The following is a 16,351-nucleotide window of genomic DNA, read 5'->3' on the forward strand; positions in this document are numbered from 1 at the left end:
CAGTGGCACTGTCTTGGCTCACTGCAACCTCCGCCTCCCCGGTTCAAACGATTCTCCTGCCTCAGCCTTGTGAGTAGCTGGGATTACAGGTGCCCACCGCCACACCCAGCTAGTTTTTGTATTTTTAGTAGAGACAGGGTTTCACCATGTTTGCCATGCTGGTCTCAAACTCCTGACCTCAAGTGATCTGCCCACCTTGGCCTCCCAAAGTACTGGGATTACAGGCTTGAGCCACCACACCCAGCCTAGCTAGTACCTTTCTAAAGTACAATGTACGAGTACTTTTCTTTCCATTTCTTAGATCTTTGCTACCTAAAGTTTAAGTACATAGATTAGCAGCATTGAAAGCTTCTTATAAATACTTCAAAGCACTTGAGCACTTTTAATTTATGCATTTCTGTTGGTTATAATACTTGGGAGTGAAATCACTGAGTCATAGAGTATATACATGTTCAGTTTTAGTAGTTACCCATTTTGCATCAATTTATTGTTTTCCCAAGTGTTTGCACTAATTTACATTCCCTCCAGCAACCTATAAAAGTTCCAGTTGCTGTATTTCTTGACTAATACATGGCATTGTCTGTCTTTTTTATTGTGCTATTCTGGTGGGTGTATTATGGTATTGTATTGCATTGTGGTCTTAATTTACTTTTCTCTGATGACCCATGATATTGAGCACCTTTTCATGTTTATTGACTATCTAGATCTCCTCTTTTCTAAATCTGTTTTCCTGTGAGACATATACCTTCTTTTGTAATGCCCGGACCTTGACTAAATTGTAGTTCTGGTGCTGATGGTTATTATTTTTTCTTCTGATTCTTTTCCATATTTAGAAGCTTCTGGAATGCAGTACTACATAGGATTCTTTAGGACTTGGAATATATAGATAATAACTCTCTTTTGATAGGTGTTTGTTGGTTTGCTCAGATATGAGAGTGATTAGCACACCAAACTTACATACACCTCATATTCTAAAGCAGCAATACTAGTAGATTGTGAAGCCTGTATCATATATTCACGCACCCCAAGTATTAGAGTTAGTCATGCATTTTTTTTCCATACAGTAAATAAATAGTTACTGAGTGTTAGTTATGTGTTAGGTACTGTGCCAGATGCCAAGGATCAATGATAAATGAGACACAGACCCTGTTCTGAAGGAGCTAGCCACCGTAAAGGAGATCAGTAACAACAACAGCAAAGTAGGTAATTACAGCACTTGATGTTAAGAGCCACCAGGAAGAGGAGCTGTGGGATTACATTAGAACATCACTTAATCAGACTGTTGAGTTGGTGGAATGAGTTGGGGAATGGGGTGCTAGTTAGGGAATGCTTACTGAAAGACGGTACTTCATTTGAAAGACAAATGAGACATAGACATGTGATGCATTGGAGATTTGGTGAATGGGAATTTAAATAGTTCACATATTTAATGGCATTTATGTATTCCATTGAATACAGTTCAACTGAAATTTGCTGAATGCTTATCATAAACTGGGCATGTGTTGGCTCTGAAAATGAGAGAAAGCACAGTCCTTATGGGAAGTTCCAAATAGTTCTAAATGACTGAAGTATAACATTTGAGGTGAGGGAATAGTGAATGATGTTACAGGAAAGACAGGCAGAGACATATATATGTATTATATAAATACTTTATGTATACCTATAGCACTATATGAAGTCCTTTAATATTCAACCATTCTGATTACCTTCTTACTCCAATTTTCCAATTAGGTGCATAACATGCTGTGAGTGTAGAATGGGTTTCAGCTTCCCAATATCAGTGGAGCCTCCATTCTATATGGTACCATAATTTGTCCTGACTACCAGAGCTTCTGTCCAACACCATCGTACAAAATTCTTGAATCTTCCCCTTGGTTTTCATTTCAGTCAGCTTGCCTTACCTGTAATTACAGGGTATACAGAAGACTAATCTTTCTTACTACTAAAGTATTTCATAACATATGGACACTTTGGTCAAAAGCAATTAGTGGAAAGAGAAGTGTTTCTGATTCAGGGTCTACAGAAAATAAGATAGTGGAGCTGGCTGAGGACTGATACACATGCCTTCCATCAGAGCCAAAACTTATCTATGCTCGTTCCTCATTTCATTCATTCTTGCCCCCAGTGTTTTTTTCCCCCACCTCTTAAACTTAGGGCCAATTTAAAGGTCTGGCCTTCAGACTGTTTAGGGTCGTGAGGGGAACATTGTAACTGGTAGCCAAAAATGCCATTCCAACTGGAAGGCTATATCTCTAGCATCTAAACTTGGAATTCTAAGTGTCACTTCTCCCAAACCCAAATTATTATTACATATGGTGTGTATTAATAAATTCTATAATACCTTTAATATGATAGCATTATTTCATATATTATGAGTTAAATCTTTCGTTGGGTAACCACAGATTGCATTATAGTATAATCATTAGGAACATAGGCTTTAGAAAAGGATAGATCTGGATTTAAATACTGATTTTGTCCATTACTAGTCAGTTTGAATTTCTCTAAGTCTTAGTTTCCACATCTATAAAATTTCCTCATACAGTCATTAAAAGCTTAAATGAAACAATGTATATAAAATGTTAAACATGTATATATACATATAGATACACACCTGCTAAGGTATCCCTCACAGATTTGTGAGAAAGAATAATTAACTGTCATTAAATAACCCCTGCTACAAATCTGGATTATAAATTGACTTCTGTAGACACCCTGAAGGATGATGTCCATTTCTTGGTAGTCTCTCTTGTGCCTTCACTTGGAGACCCTCCTGAAGGACTTAGTGCACATTTTCTTTTTAGTCTAAATTTTAAGTCAGACCACCCCAAATATGTCCCAAAAGTTCTAAGAAACTTTTTAAGCTATGGTAATACAATGGTAGGCTTGATTTTATTTATTTAGATAAAATACGATGATAGACTTGATTTTACTTATTATATAGACTAATAACTTCCTGGGAGCACTGTGATTGCCACACTTCCAAAGAGAAGAAAAACTTTTCAAGCACCAAAAAAGTAGCTTAAAAACAAATTTTGTACACCAGTCAGGGACTCTTTAGAGTACACTCATAGGTGGGAATTGAACAATGAGATCACATGGACACAGGAAGGGGAACATCACACTCTGGGGACTGTTGTGGGGTGGGGGGAGGGGGGAGGGATAGCATTGGGAGATATACCTAATGTTAGATGACGAGTTAGTGGGTGCAGCACACCAGCATGGCACATGTATACATATGTAACAAACCTGCACATTGTGCACATGTACCCCAAAACTTAAAGTATAAAAAAAAAAAAAAAGAAATACCACCTTCAGCACCTTGTCCAGTGGAGCATGTGAAATTAAGTACTTAGATTCTTTTTGTGGACTGAAGCTTCATTTTCTTTGGGCTAGTTCAAATTATTATGCAGTATTTCCATAGCCTTTACATTTTGGCAACTCTTTTCTTTGATCCTAGCAGAAAAATAGGTTATAATTTTGGCCCCAAATAATTATTTTTTAATTGTTCCTTTTGTTTTATTAGATATGATAATATCCTAAACTATATAATATATTAAAATAGAATGAGGATGTATCTGATATGAATTACTATGGGATGATGTACAGATACAGAAGTGTTCCAAACTATGCCTTATGAAACTGTAGTGTCTTGCCTGTGGTAAAAAATGCTGGACTTCATATGGGAATGATATTGGAAATTTGAAAACTTTTAATCTTTGTGTAAAACGATTGTGTATTTATACCTGTATAACACAGCTATGTGAAGTTCTGTGTCTTGTATATAAAGACAAATGTGTCAAAACTGAAAAGCATCCAGAAAGTGGCAACCGAAATCGTCAAGAGGCAGGAGTGGCTTAAAAGCTTTATACCCTTCAATGTGGAATGATCCTCAGGGATATCATTAGGAAAGTCTTAGAGTTGGAAGGGGAATTAGCTTTGATCTACTCCAACCTGTTATTTAATGCAGGAATTTATCTTATGATAATCCTGATAAATGGCTGAGCTTCCTCTGTTTGAATACTGGATGATGCATTAAGAGTGCTGATTTTGGCTGGGCACGGTGGCTCACACCTGTAATGCCAGCACTTTGGGAGGCTAAGGCAGGCAGATCACCTGAGGTCAGGAGTTCCAGACCAGCCTGGCCAACATGGTGAAATCCTGTCTCTATTAAAAATACAGAAATTAGCCAAGTGTGGTGGTGCGTGCCTGTAATTCCAGCTACTTGGGAGGCTGAGGCAGGAGAATCACTTGAACCCGGGAGGCAGAGGTTGCAGTGAACTGAGATCGTACCACTGCACTCCAGCCTGGGTGACAGACTGTCTCAGAAAAAAAAAAAAGTGCTGATTTTGGGGACATGCTGCTTGGGTTTAAACCCAGCCCTGCCTACTGGGATCTACCATGGTCACTCACCTACTAGTTGAGTGACCACAGGCAAATTCTTAACCTCTCTGCAAATTTTTACCCAGCCCCATTTCCTGGCTTATTATTGCCAGCATCTGTGTTCCTGACAATAGGCGAAGACACAAGGGATCTAGCCTCTGACCCCATCCCATCTAGCATTGAGAGATGAACTGAGAATCAAGTAAATGTTTGCATTATACATCTGGTGGAAAAAAAGTATATTCAGCATATAGTAGTTACCTTAAAAAATGAAATTTTCAGCATAGACCAGAGTGGTGAAAAGCAAGTTTAGGGGAGGCTTCATGGATCAGACAAGTCTGTTAGTTGAAGGAGAGTCTATTGACAGTTCCCAGTTCTGCCTTCTGGAACAACATAAATCAGTTTAATTCCTTCTGTGTGACAATTCTTCACCTTATCAAACGTAAAATATAAAAGGCATAGTTCGGGTGAGTGTGGATTTTTCCCCTCTTAAAATTCCATAGCTTTAGAGAGTGTTTTGTGTATTTTGGCTAAAATTTAGGAAAAACAAAATGAACCACTAATGGGTGATAATTTTGTAGAGCTCTTTAACTTTTTAATCCAAAAAATTGTGTGGACTATAAATTAAAATTTGTTTCCATCAACTCATATATGGTTACTCAGCAAAATTGGAAATTTGAACTAGATTCCAAACCTTTTGAGTTTTAAAATATTCTAAATAGTGTATTATTTAGATTCAGCTTTGAGTGACAGAAATATCCAAAATAAGAATGGCTTAAACAAATAGCAGTATTTTGCTGTCTTGTAAAAGTCTGAGCAGGTGATGTAGACTGTTGTTATGTCTGATGGTGTCAAAAATATGGTTTTCTCTTTCCTGTTGCTCTCCCCTTCTTAAGTCTGGTCTTGAGGTGCAAAATGGTGGCTTTGATAATTCTAGGCTTCAGGATGAAGGAAGGGATGAGGAATAAGTTGCCAGGGACATTTCTGCTTTATATCTCATTGGCTGGAACATACTCAGGTGGCCACATCTATTAATAGTTACAAGAGAGGCTAAGATGCAGGCTGTACGCTGGGTAGCCATGTACTCAGTTGTAATTTGGGAGTTTGATGTATGGGAGAAAGAAAGATGCAGAAGATATTGGGGGACAACCAGCAGTGTAATGTAATTAGTATAGCTACTTACTTGAGTAGGCCTTCATTAAATCGTTGTTCAACAGATGAATGTTTCTAATTGCTCCTGTCAAAGTAGGTATTGATCTGGATATTTACGTGTATACATGATAAATTATGGCAAGATTATTTATTATTGGTGTTTTTATAATTTTATTTCTCATCTACTCTTTATGAATATGGTATATCTGACAGTCTTCAGGCAGATGTAATACTGTACAAGATTTATTTCAGTTTATTTATTGCGGTCTCCCCACCCCCCAAAACTTGGAGGCGTATTAAAAAATCTCTTCTCATGTGTCTGTCTATGATCAACGTTTCTTGCATATGCTCGGCAAATGTTTTGAGATTGAATAAATGAATGGTAATAAAACTTTGAGGCATCCAAGCCTTTTCTTTTAATTTCTTTTGTTTCGATTTACACAAACAAAAGTTTATATCTGTAATATACATAGAAGAAATTCTTGACCTTAAATCTGTATTTATTACAAGATTTTCAGGAACATTCATTCAGCTTTCAGGTGGAATGTGGTTAGGTTTGGATTTAATTATGGTTAAGTACCAATTATGACGTTATTAGGCAAAAAAGGCTAAATCCCCATTGTAGGGATTTCAGTGCTAGTTATTTCATTGAGGCTATTGGGGATTTAAGGAGAGAGACGTATTTGTTAGACCAGCCTGGCAAGGTGTTTGGGTCTTATAAAATTCCCAAAGATGAGTAATAAACTACCCAGGTATCAAGAAACCATTTAACTTATTTTAATTGAATAGAAAGTTCCTAGAAATCGGTAAGGTTTTTCTGGAGTCCTAGAAACATATTTTGAAATGTTAGCAAGTTATATTGCTTGAACTTGATATGTCTCACTTTGTTTGTTTTATATGCTGAGAAAGTAACTTTCAAGCTTCATTAAATTTTTTGACATAATTTACAGTTTGCAAAAGTTATTAAGATAAAAATAATCTCCAGCGACAGAAACTCAGTTCTTCCTAAGTCATCGCATTACATGTTTGGAGTACTCTGACTGAGGGTATTACTCTGTGGCAGTTATGCTGGCTCTGAAGTCAGACAGCCCAGGTCAGATGTTATGCCATCACTTACTGTGTGACCTTGGGTGACTTATTTAGCTCCTCTGTGCCTCAGGTTTCTCATCTATACACTGGAGGGTAATAATACTTCATAGAGTTGAGAGAGCAGGGAAGCTAGCACTTAGAATAAAGCTTAGTACATAATAAACAATAAATGTCATTAATGGTCACTTTTGTCATCATTATTAATGTTTTTCTCAAAATGAGTTAAAATATGACTCCAAGAAATATTTAGGAGATTATATCAGTTGACTTTTTCATTTGTAGCATATATGCTATGTGCTACCAAGTGAAATAGAAGACACAAGTTTGGTGAAGAAGAGGAGGAGAATGCTGAATGTGGTTTTTTTGTTTTTGTTTTTCATTTTTTTAGAGACAGGGTCTCACTCTGTCACCCAGGCTGTATTGCAGTGGCACCATCTTGGGTTACTACAACCTCCGCCTCCCAGGCTCAAGGGATCCTCCTTCCTCACCCTCCTAAGTAGCTGGGACTATAGACATGTGCCACCACACCCAGCTAATTTTTTATTTTTAGTAGAGATGGGGTTTTGCCATGTTGCCCAGGCTGGTCTCGAACTCCTGGGCTCAAGTGAACCACCTGCCTCAGCCTCCCAAAGTGCTGGGATTACAGGCATGAGCTGTCATGCTTGGCCCTTGAATTTAGTTTTGAATGTGTTGAACTTGAGTTATTTCTGGGATATTAATCTTGAAATATGAATTTAAAGGAGGGACAGAGGTCACTGGCATATGGGTGATAATTAAAACTATGGGAGATGAATGACATAACATAAGGGTCTACCTTGGGCCTAGGTTTGAAACCTGGGGATACTAACCTTCAAAGAACAGGCAGAGGACATAAAGGAAGCCATCTGAGAGTTAGTAGGAGAAACAGGAGAGAGAAATACCACCAAAAAGAGGTATGGTGTCTGATGAAATAGAGGTTATAGTAATCTGAGAACTGAAAAGTATCCATGGCTTGTTAATTAATGGGTATTTTGTGACTGTTTGGTATCCGTAGAGTGGAGGTGGAAACCAGATAGCTGTGAATTTAGGGATGGTGATAAGGGAGGAAAAGAAGGCAATAAATGTAACTACTGTAACTACTCTTGAGAAATTTTAATGAGACAAGTTGGAAACTAGAGGAAGATACAGGATCAATGGAAAAGTTTTGGAGGGTATATGATTTGGATAGGCTTAAGAGAAATAGCCATTAGAAAAGGAAAAAGGTTGAATATGAGGACAGTGTAGAAAAGATGGGTTCAAGGCCAAAGTTGACGAGACTGGCTTTGAATAGGAGGAGGGATGTGGACAGAAGTAAGCCTTTAAGATAGAGGAAATTGGGGTTCACCTGTAATCCCTGCACTTTGGGAGGCTGAGGCAGGAGGATCACTTGAGCCCAGGAGTTCAAGACCAGCCTGAGCAACATGGTGAGACCCCATCTCTACAAAGATTTAAAGAAAAATTAGCTGGGGATGCTGGCACATTCTTGTAGTGCCAGCTACTGGGAGGCTGAGTCAGAAGGATCACTTGAGCCCAGGAGGTTGAGGCTGCAGTGAGCTATGTTCACTGCACTGCATTCCAGCCTGGATAACAAAACAATACCCTGTCTCAAAATAAATAAATGAAAAGATAGGGAAAGTCACTCCAAATGACTTCCATGTTCTCTAAAGAAATAAAAAAGGGTGTTTGTCACTGAAAGGAGGGTTAGATAGATGTTTTGAGGAGAGTAGTGAAAGATTAGAATAGAATTGAGGAAAATGGGAGAGGTAGCTGACAAATTTGTTCTTCGACTGAGGGATTTTTCACCTGAACAGTATTTAAAGATATCACTGTTAGTGTGGATGCCATGAATGTGTTATATGAAAAAACAGAATGACTATATTTATCATAGAATATATTGATTTAGCACCTCTGTGTACAAAGCACTGTGCGCATATACTTCCTGAGAGATTCAGATGAGCACTGGTCATCTTGTCCAAGGAGAGTATGAGCTAATAGCTCAGGTCATGTGATTGTCACAAATGCAAATGTTTATAAAAGATTAAAAATGGTAAATGACACATGAGTTTTATAAACATACTATAACAGTTTGAAAGAGATAGAGATTCCATCAAATGGGGGAAAATAAGAGGACTTTATGAAAAAGGCACAAAAAAGGGCTAGGTGTGAATTCTCTGTTGAAATAGTAATTACTGTGAATTTTTGATTTATTACACTATTTATTCTTCTATAATACAATGACTGGCATTAAACAGAAGAAGAGAAACAAAGAGATTAATGAAACAGTGAGTTCTCTCCTGTCCAAACAATGTTCTAAAGTTGATTATGTTTTTAGTAAGAATATAGAATTCAGTAATCATTTTCACAAATATTCCACAAATAGGAACGTCTCTGTTAGGTGCAAAAGATACAGAGATGACTAAGATACAGTTTCTGTCCTCAGAGAGTGCATACTCTAATAGAAGAAATAGAAGTAAAAAGAACTGTAGTTTTGTACAACAAGGGATATAAAGATGGTATATATGAGTAGAGAAGTTTAGGGCACAATGGAAGGAAGCATGAATAAATGATTATGTTGATATGATAGCACATTTTTTTTCCTTTTTCTTTTCTTTAGTTGGAGAACATCAATTAACAGGCCATAAAGTGGCAGTTAAAATCTTAAATAGACAGAAGATTCGCAGTTTAGATGTTGTTGGAAAAATAAAACGAGAAATTCAAAATCTAAAACTCTTTCGTCATCCTCATATTATCAAACTGTAAGTATTTTTGTATCTAATAATACCAAAGAGACACCTATCTTAAAATGTTTTTTAGGAATTTTATAATAATTGTTAATTGTTAACCTTTTACAAAGATTTTTTTTCATGTTCATATTCAGCAAGTGTTAATTCATTTAACCTTTATCAGTCCTTTTTTTGCATACTCTTGGTTAGACTGAACAGACATTGTTTCTAAATTAGTACTCAATTTATGTTTCTAAATTAGTACTCAATTTATGTTTCTAAATTAGTACATCAATTCTCAAGTGATGAATGAAGTTGATTCATCACATTTAGAAGTTGATTCTTATCCAACTTTAAATGTCATTCAGGGCTTTGACATTTCTAGATTCATTTTTATAATTTTTATCTAGTCAATTTTCACTAACATTCAGGGTATTTTTTCCTTTGGAAAGATAGAAAGTATATGTCAAAGATTATTTCACATAGTATATTACTTGTAGAACTGAAAGTAGTACTATAACCATAAAGCTTTTAGGAAGGCAAATGTGTTTTTTTCCCCTTGGAATAAATTATAAACTTAAAAGTTAGGTAAATATTGAGATAAATAAGATAAGTAATTGAAAGATAAATAGATTATTTTAAAATTGACTAGACCCTAGAAAATTTAAATATTCATTGTGCAATAATGTGTTTCTTTCAGTCATTTAAAGTTGCAGTTTAATATTTGTTGGGAAAATGTAACGTGCTAGACACTGAAAATTGTCTTATTTATCTTTAAGCTTGGATACAGTTTTATAAAATAAGTATTGCTCTTACTTATTGAGTACCTGATAGTGGTCAGGAACTGTACCAAGCATTTTTTTTTTGTCAAGTTTCTGCTGAATGTGTGGAGCATTTTCCTTATTTAATTTAATATTATCTTCATGATCAGTGTCTAAAGTAGGCTTACTTTATAGACAAGGAAACTGCATTATCTAAAAAGTAATAGCAGCTTATCCAAGGCCACACAGCTAGTAAGTCACAGAGCTGGTAGTTGAGGTCAAGCCTGATTCCAAATGCCATGCTGTTAATGCTCCAGCATTCCAGTTTTTCTTAAAACTGAGAGTTATATAAATTCCTTTTAAAGAAAAAATAAATTTATGGATCCCTCATTTTGACTTAATTATTTTTAATATACCATTACTTAAGAAACAAAGCCCTATGTATAAACTTTATATGCATATAGTTCGAATACAACTATGAAACCAAAAGAAATTCACAATTTAAATACAAAAAAACAATGGAATCAATGGGATTCAAAGCAGTATCAATAGTATAATGTGACAAATAACAGTGTTTTATAACAACCAAAATCATTGTTAGAGAGTTTAATAGTGGAAACAGTAGGAGGAGATCAAATACTAAATTTATATTGTGAGTCAAATAAGATTGGTACAGAGAAAGCATGTTCATATAAATATACTATTAAAAAAGAAGTATTAATAACTGAGATGTTATTTGCTAGTTCATTAAAATCAGGCATTATATTTAGGCTGATCTTTGTCAGTGAGCAGTCTTTGAATGTCAGCATTAATGGGAACAACTTGATAACCCTGTGGAGTTATATTGTTTACTTGATGACAAGAGTAGCATATAAGTGTGGTAAGCAGAGTAATACCTGCCCCCCATGTCTATTTCCTAATTCCCAGAATTTGTGAATATGTTAGGTTGCATGGCAAAGGGTAACATTGCTAAGCAGCTGACCTTAAACTAGGGAGGTTATCCTGGATCATGTAGGTGGGCCAAATATTAACACAGTGGTTCTTAAAAGTAGAGGAGAAGAGTAGAAGAAAAGAGTCAGAGAAAAAGGTCTGAACATAGAAACAACATCAGAATGATAAAATGGGAGAAGGACTCAACTGGCCGTTTCTGCGTTTGAAGATGGAGGAAAGGGAGCATGAGTCAATGAATGCAGGCAGTCTCTACAAGCTGGGAAATGCAAAGAAATTCTGCCCCAGAGCCTTCAGAAGGCAACACAGCTCTGCTGGCACCTTGATTTTAGCCCACTGAGACATATGTCAAGCTTTTAAGATAAAGAACTGTAAGATAATACATTTGTGTTGTTTTAAGCCACTGAGTTTGAAGTATGGCAGCAATGGGAAACTAATACAGCATCATTCTTGAAATCCTTAAATAAATGGCTGGTCCAATTATTGTTGAGATTTGGAACATTCATTTAGTCTTTACTGCTGTACTTATTGTTAGTGAACTGTGGCTTATTGGTATTTTTAATGAAGGGACCCATGTGGTGCATCTTACCGGCAGCAAGAGTATGCCACTGACTGTTCAGAGCAGGCTTTTATGGGATTGGTGTGGATGACCGGTGATGACTCAGTTCTCACATCACTGCTAGGAAACCTTCATTCTTAGAGTAAGCTTCAATGTCATATGATCTTCACTTGAAGTTCACTTAGTCATAAACATAAACAAAATGAGGTCCCTGAAATTGCATGGCAGTACTTGATTATAAGGTTATCATCCAGGACCTATGTATTAGATGGTCCAGAGTATGTATATAGAGGTTTTTAAAGATTGTCATAAGAATTAAAATTCCACCCATGAGCTTGGTAACTCACCTTTCCTATCCATTGTTTCTTTAACTTTAAAATGGGACACCTCATTTGAGGATTAAATGTGTTGGCACTGGTATAATGCCTAGTGTTTGATAAGCATTGGCCCAGAGCAGGAATTAGCAACTTATAAACTAATTCCAGTCCTCTTTCATTATTCCAGATGGTTTTCACTTAACTGAAACAGTTAGTCTCTGACTTCAACTCTGTATTATTCATGACTTTGTTCTAGTTACTGGGTAACATCTAAGCTAAATCTCTTTGCTCTTCCCCACTGAGTGTCCACTTCCTATGAGAAGAGAAAGCTGAAATAGCCAGACTAAAAGTGTCATATGCTAGAATGAAAGTGGGGAAGGGAAAGATCTTTCCATATTTGCCTTATACCTTGACCTCATCACTTTTACAATGCCAACCCTGAAAGACTTTGAGGAAATTTTACCCGTTTGGGTATGAGTCCTACTATCTGTACAGTTCCCAGTTCCTAAAAACACAAATCAGATTTTATCAATAAGCAGTTGCAATTGTCATAATTGTCATGAGGATTCTAAGGCTTCTTTTCCTTTTTTTTTTTTTTTTTTAACAGAGCCTAGCTCTGTTGCCCAGGCTGGAGTGCAGTGGTGCAATCTTGGCTCACTGCAACCTTCGCTTCCCAGATTCAAATGATTCTCATGCCTCAGCCTTCCAAGTAGCTGAGACTACAGGCATGTGCCACCACACCCTGCTAATTTTGTATTTTTTGTAGAGACAGGCTTTCCGCCATTTTGCCAGGCTGGTCTCGACCTCCTAAGCTCAAAACCATCAGCCTGCCGCAGCCTCCCAAAGTGCTGAGATTACAGGCTTGAGCCACTGCGCCCAGGCCCGAAGACTTATTTTTGATGTCATATTTATCAGTGTTTTCTTGCCTCCATTTCTATATTTACTTTCAATCATTTTATTTTTGTTTGACTGTCTCATCCTGATTATTTAATTATTTGCTGTTTTCTGAAGGAATTATAGAAGATTGTCAGAGTTGGTCAGAAAGTAATTGGCAGAGGTGAATTTGCAGTTTAAAACTTTTGGCTTCCAGCCTTGAGATTAATTCATTCAGCCACATTGCCTCTTTAATTGTAGATCTGATCTTAAAACAAAAAACAAACAAACAAAAAAACACTCATGTATTTTTGCTACAGAAGAAGCTTATTGACATCGTCTGTAACAGTGTTAGTGATTTAAACAGAGAGAGCAACCTTACCCTTTCAGTGGTTTTCTTTTGTGTAGCCTTGGACTGTCAGGAATAGTTTCCTTATTGCAAAAGTGGGACTCTAGAATTAGCAAGAAAGTTTGAGCATTGAATGCCAAGAATGAAGGATATTTATTGCATGATTTCTTTATTAACCCAAATTGAAAAAAAAATTACAAATGAATGACCTAAAACCCACTGGTAGAAAATTAAAAGGCACAAATAGGATTTAAAGAAAAATCCAAACTTTCCTATGAAGTAGAATTTGTTGAATTGATTTTTGTCCTTTTTTTTCTTTCCTCCATAATTCTTAATGCAACTTGATTTTACTTGGTCAAAAGATGCTTGTTAGTCTGGTAGAGATGATCTTGTCTAATTTTTTTTTTTTTTTTTTTTGAGACAAAGTCTCGCTCTGTTGCCCAGGCTGGAGTGCAGTAGCATGATCTCAGCTCACTGCAACCTCCGCCTCCTGTGTTCAAGCGATTCTCCTGCCTCAGCCTCCTGAGTAGCTGGGACTACAGGCACACACCACCACACCCAGCTAATTTTTGTATTTTTAGTAGAGACGGGGTTTCACCATGTTGGCCAGGATGGCCTTGATCTCTTGACTTCGTGATCTGCCCACCTTGGCCTCCCAAAGTGCTGGGATTACGGGCGTGAGCCACCATGCCCAGCCTAATTCTTTTTAGTCTATCTTATTTAACCTATGGCCTGCTTTTTAACATCATTAACCGCCAGCACCACCTTGAAATGTTGTCTCTAGGTTTCCATGACACCTCAGGCTTCTGTTTTCTTTTTTTCATTCTTGTTTATTCTGAAAACTTTCCTTTATGGGCCCCGCTTTATCTTCCTGGCTGTTAAGTATTGATGCAGTCAAGTACACTGAGCTAGTGTAATTTTCTTAGTGAACCCTCTTTTGATGATTTCATCTACTACCATGGTGCCATTTGCCATCTCTATGCTGAAGATTTCCAAATCTTTATGATTTCTGGCCCTTTTGTTTCTCCAGATTTCTGAGCACATTTATCAAATTGTTTATCGGATGTTCACATTCTAAAGTCACAGAGTCACCTGAAGCTAAACTTTTCTCTCTCTTCCAAATTTACTTCTCTGTTTTTGGAGGGTGTGGTGGGAGAGTGGAGGGAGGTAAATGAAAATACCATTCATGCAGTTTCCCAAGCCCCAAACTTGGGCAAAATCTTTAATTTCTTCTTTTCCCTCATTTCTTACATACAATCAATCATTAAGGTCTGCACTTCTTTTTCCTAAGTGTCCTCTGAATTTATCCATTTTTCTTTGCTCTGTCAGGTTACCATCTTGCTTGTTGTACTTCAGCTGTTTCCTCTGCTTGGAATACTTTATCCACATCTCCCTTTCCCTAGGCTGCCAATTCCAACTTGTCTTTTAAGTGCAATTACATTTGACCCTTGAACGGTATGGGTTTGAACCACATTGGTCTACTTATGATTGGGTTTTATGCCACCTTTGCTATCCTGAGACAGCAAGACCAACCCCTCCTCTTCCTCTTCCTCCTCAGTCTACTCAATATGAAGATGACAAGGATAAAGACCTTGATGGTGATCCATTTCCACTTAATGAGTAGTTGGTATATTTTCTCTTCCTTATGATTTTCCTAATAACATTTTCTTGTCTCTAGCTTACTTTACTATAAGAATACAGTAAATAATACATTTAACATGCAAAATGTGTGTTAATTATTTCTGTTATCTGTAAGGCTTCTGCTCAACAGTGGGCTATTAGTAGTTAAGTTTAGGGGTAGTCAAAAGTTAAACGTGGATTTTTGATGCACAGGGGTTGACACCCTAACCCCCACATTGTCTGAGGATCAACTGTACCCCTGAAAACCTACTTTACTCACTAAGACTAGGTTAGGCTCTAACTCCTCTTTGCTCTCAAAGCACTCAATGTTCACCTTTTCCGAAGCCCTTAAATTGTGTTGTAATTGCACATTTTCTTATTGGTATTTCCCACAAGACTGAAGTACTTAGGAGCAGGAATTATGGTTTTTTTTTTAATTCAAAAAAATTTTTTTTATTATACTTTAAGTTCTAGGGCACATGTGCACAATGTGCAGGTTTGTTACATATGTATCCATGTGCCATGTTGGTGTGCTGCACCCATTAACTCGTCATTTACATTAGGTATATCTCCTAATGCTATCCCTCCCCTCTCCTGCCACCCCATGACAGGCCCTGGTGTGTGATGTTCCCCTTCCTGTGTCCAAGTGTTCTCATTGTTCAATTCCCACCTATGAGTGAGAACATGCGGTGTTTGGTTTTCTGTCCTTGTGATAGTTTGCTGAGAATGATGGTTTCCAGCTTCATCCATGTCCCTACAAAGGACATGAACTCATCCTTTTTTATGGCTGCATAGTATTCCATGGTGTATATGTGCCACATTTTCTTAATCCAGTCTATCACTGATGGACATTTGGGTTGGTTACAAGTCTTTGCTATTGTGAATAGTGCCACAATAAACATACGTGTGCATGTGTCTTTATAGCATCATGATTTATAATCATTTGGCTATATACCCAGTAATGGGATGGCGGGTCAAATGGTATTTCTAGTTCTAGATCCTTGAGGAATCACCACACTGTGTTCCACAATGGTTGAACTAGTTTACAGTCCCACCAACAGTGTAAAAGTGTTCCTATTTCTCCACATCCTCTCCAGCACCTGTCGTTTCCTGACTTTTTAATGATCGCCATTCTAACTGGTGTGAGATGGTGTCTCATTGTGGTTTTGATTTGCATTTATCAGATGGCCAGTGATGATGAGCATTTTTCATGTGTCTGTTGGCTGCGTAAATGTCTTCTTTTGAGAAATGTCTGTTCATATCCTTCGCCCACTTTTTGATGGGGTTGTTTGATTTTTTCTTGTACATTTGTTAAGTTCTTTGTAGATTCTGGATATTAGCCCTTTGTCAGATGGGTAGATTGCAAAAATTTTCTCCCATTCTGTAGGTTGCCTATTCACTCTGATGGTAGTTTCTTTTGCTGTGCAGAAGCTCTTTAGTTTAATTAGATCCCATTTGTCAATTTTGGCTTTTGTTGCCATTGCTTTTGGTGTTTTAGACATGAAGACCTTGCCCATGCCTATGTCCTGAATGGTATTGCCTAGGTTTTCTTCTAGGGTTTT

The 16,351-nt window shown here is 37.1% G+C and overlaps 1 protein-coding gene across 2 annotated transcripts in view; it reads left to right on the top strand.

Moving 5' to 3' along the window:
• The window catches only part of PRKAA2 (protein kinase AMP-activated catalytic subunit alpha 2), a 70,022-nt gene that overhangs the window by 19,814 nt on the left and 33,857 nt on the right, over window positions 1-16,351 (top strand). For both annotated transcript variants that reach the window (NM_006252.4, XM_017001693.2), the window contains exon 2: window positions 9,254-9,395. In NM_006252.4, coding sequence (NP_006243.2) covers window positions 9,254-9,395 — 142 coding nt within the window. The remainder of the gene's footprint in view (window positions 1-9,253; window positions 9,396-16,351) is intronic.

Source organism: Homo sapiens, chromosome 1 (assembly GCF_000001405.40).
Source record: "Homo sapiens chromosome 1, GRCh38.p14 Primary Assembly".
Lineage (NCBI taxonomy): Eukaryota > Metazoa > Chordata > Mammalia > Primates > Hominidae > Homo > Homo sapiens.